General features: G+C 37.1%; 1 long non-coding RNA gene across 1 annotated transcript; it reads right to left on the minus strand.

Moving 5' to 3' along the window:
- Positions 1–283: 283 nt before the first annotated feature.
- On the minus strand, positions 284–2,833 carry LOC124902004 (uncharacterized). The gene is made up of 3 exons (XR_007061062.1): positions 2,735–2,833; positions 455–494; positions 284–347 (listed from the first exon to the last, which is right to left on the minus strand). It is a non-coding gene; the product is annotated as an uncharacterized LOC124902004 (long non-coding RNA).
- Between the last annotated feature and the right edge of the window lie 754 nt (positions 2,834–3,587).

Genomic DNA, 3,587 nt, shown 5'->3' on the forward strand with positions numbered 1-3,587 from the left:
GATTTCACCATGTTGGCCAGGCTGGTCTCGAACTCCTGACCTCAGGTGATCTGCCCACCTCGGCCTCCCAAAGTGCTGGGATTACAGGCATGAGCCACCGCGCCCGGCCAATGCATGAATCTTTATGCAAATTACATTCAGTAGATATCCGTCACATCTATGGCAATTTCTACATAATGTGCTAATGTATGTTGAAAATCTAAGAAAAAAGATACAGGATACTCCAAAACACTGTAAACTAAGGGTCCAGAAAAATCTTTAGTGGGCTGGAGGCTTACCTTATGGCAGAGTTGGGGTACCCTAAGGTTTAATCTCCAGAGGTTTCAAAGCAGCTGTCAAACTTCTATCTGCTTTCACACACGATAGAGGGCAATTTAAACAATGTGGATGTTAAGTTGAAGCAAAGTTTGCATAAGTGCATCAGAGTCAATGTAGATGTGGATATACTACTTACTCTTTCTGCATTTTCCCTTTCTTCCTTGTTCAAAGCTTATCTATTAATAAAATGAGAAAACAAGTTCAAAGGAATTATGAAATTATAACCCACAAATACCACTGTAACTTATAAAGCTGCTGCTATCGTGAAAGTCAGAAAAAAAAAAAAAAGATAGGCTTCGCTTGTACATGCATTTCACAAATGCTTTTGCTAAAACTCCACCCTACGGTATGGAGTTAACTACTGTTGGTTTTGTCTGTCTCTTATTTTTCTTTTTTTCTGGAAATAGAATCTCAATTTTTCTTTAGGAAATCATCTTACTCCTTACTTATGTAGTTGAATGGGACTGAAAACCCACCACCTACCTAGTTCTTTCCCTCCCACTGGATTAAGAAATTAGCATCTCTTATCCCCCTTGGAGGCAGGAATGAACACGTGATTCTATTGATACACTGAGACTCAGTCCCTGAGTTTTGCTGGAATTACCGGGAAGGGGAGATTTTCTTACTGTGGGTGTTGCTAAATAATGGGTACTCTGTTTTGCCAGTTCACAGAGAAAGCCTATATAAAAATCAAATCAACATAAAGGAAAGCAAAGCCAAAAGATGGAGTCAGATTCCCGATAACATTGGTTTAGCACCTTGACCAAACTGTATCTGAAGGTGGTAGTCTCCTGAGACTCTTCAGTTTGTTAGTCAATAAATTCCCTTTTTTGTTTAAGCCATCTTGCAAAAAATTTTGTCATTTAAAATCAAGTAAAATCTGGAATTTAATAAAATATAAGCCAGTGAGAGTGACATTCTAGGAATAACCATGATTCTGCTTTAAGAAAAAAATCATGTAAATGTTTGTTTTCTTAAATGCAATTAGATATTATTTTGTGCCATTTATCTAATTACTATGGGATGTCTTTTAAGGAGAGCATGAGTCTGGGCGATAATTTGTCTATTTCAGAATTTAATTAAAGAAGGAATTTACCACACCTAAGAATGTCTTATGGTCAAGCATTATAAAAGAAATTGGCCACCATCCTTCATGAAAAATCTCAACACAAAGTACAACAGAACGCTAAACCTAATAGGTCTTCTTGAAACACATAATATAATGCCCCCCCGCCCCTAAAAAAAAAAAGAATTTATGAACTGAGTATAGTCAACCCAAATAAGTATCAAAAACCAGGAAATAAGATACCTTATTTACTTTCAAATGCTTCTTGTCAGGTGGCACAAATGTTATGTCATGGAGAAGCTGTCGTTTAATTAACAACTATACTGTGCTGGGTACTATGGTAAATCTTTGCATGGAGGATATTGCCTGCCACAAGATTGCTGTTCAAGTGGTATTAGGGAGGTAAACATTTACATCTCTCAAAAGTGAGGATTGCATTCGGCCTTTCTGCCAAGTAACTTGTCCTTTAGGGTTAACAAGGACCTTGTAACCAGATCCACTTAAAGTCCACTTGCAGAGAAAAGATCAGCCTTTCTTCTTACTCCTGAGAAAGACTCTATTTGAATGAATTACTCCTTTCCTAGTTTCTTCTCAAGTCATATGTAGCCTTCTTGCCCACATACTTGCAGGCCCAGATTTTTTTTTCTCCCAGAGTAGGAAATAAACTCTTTGGCAAGTTAAGAAGTCAACTCTGCCTTAGATTGGGCTCTCTTCTGAATTCTAATCAGAAGATATTTTTGACTCAGCAATCATTTTTAGGGATTCTTTGATCTTCGTCTCTTTCAAGTCACCGAAATCAGTGTGGGGGGTGTGTGTGTGTGTGTGTGTGTGTGTGTGTGTAAAATAAGTGGCTACTTTTGGATGTATGAGTGGCTCTTTGCCATACCCCAGGTTGGAGCTCTGTGAGCTTCTGCATGAAAAGGAATTTCACAGCACTAGAGGTTAATTGCAGCGAGGGAGAAAGGACACAGCCCATGACTTGCCTGATGAATCAACAAAAAGATATGTATTAATACTTACTCGGTCAATGCCAGAGAGAACATGGTCTCTGATATATTTCATATACCTCTGTTATATTTAATACAATGGGCTTGTGTGCTGGTGAAGAATATATATTCTAGGGTTATTCATATCTTTTAAATCCAGGCTTCTCCATGATCTCAATTGACCCCATGATTTCAGCTGTATGATCTCAGGTGACTTTCTGAATCTCTCTGTGCCTTAGTTTCCTTATTTGTAAATTGGGAAGACAGTAATAAAGGGTGTTGAAAGATTTTCACGTGATAATGCTGGCGAAGTGCTTAGCACCCAGCAAGTACTCAATATTTCATTGTTAAACTCCGCTCCTACCTGAAAGTGGCCGGGCACTGGCCCAAGTGGTCAATTTCTATCTGTCCCCTGATACAGTTCCTCAGTGGCAGTTGAAGTGTGACATGAAAACTTTACCAGAGTTTTTACAAACAGAGCTCTAAGAATTTGGATTGTGACACACACCTAAATTCTAAGTTAGAATGAAATGATCAGCTCGCTGGAGTAGTCTCTTTTCTCTTACATTTGAGAGAAAGCTCAAACTATAGGGTTAGGAGCCGCTTGAATTTTGCCACATCTGTCTACACCATTGTTTTAAAACTGGGCATCTCCAGTCCCTTGGGTTTCTATAGTGAAACTTCTGTCTGCTTTTTTTTTTTTTTTTTTTTTTTTGGATGAAACAGGCCCTCAATAGAACAGAAAGAATGTCTCTGAGAGAGTTCATATTATGTCTCATTTACACAGAAACTCAATTGAGAGATCCTAGGTTACTTGGAACTGTATCTCTGTCCTTAGGCAGAACTAGACTCAAAACTTTTCAGAAAATATGTAAACTTTTTTGTTGTTGTTCAATACTGATCATGTACAAGTAAACCCAATAGTATTGTTGCCAAGAAAGAATATATAATATTTAAGATCTCTTTACTAATTTTAGCTTCTTTGTATGTGATCTAATTTTAATTTTCTGAGCCTAAATTTTCACTTACCTACAATCCACAGTAGCAGGTGTTCCAAAATCAATCTTTGATTTGTTGAATACAACATGTACTATGAAGGCTTTGTTCTTTTATTCATGAGGTGAAATGGTATTTATTAAAGTGTTTTAAAAGATTTCAGATATTTTAAAGCTTTTGAAGAGCTTATATATTTACTAATTATATCCTTTAAAACTCTA

The sequence above is a fragment of the Homo sapiens genome, chromosome 8 (genome assembly GCF_000001405.40).
Source record: "Homo sapiens chromosome 8, GRCh38.p14 Primary Assembly".
Classification (NCBI taxonomy): Eukaryota; Metazoa; Chordata; class Mammalia; order Primates; family Hominidae; genus Homo; species Homo sapiens.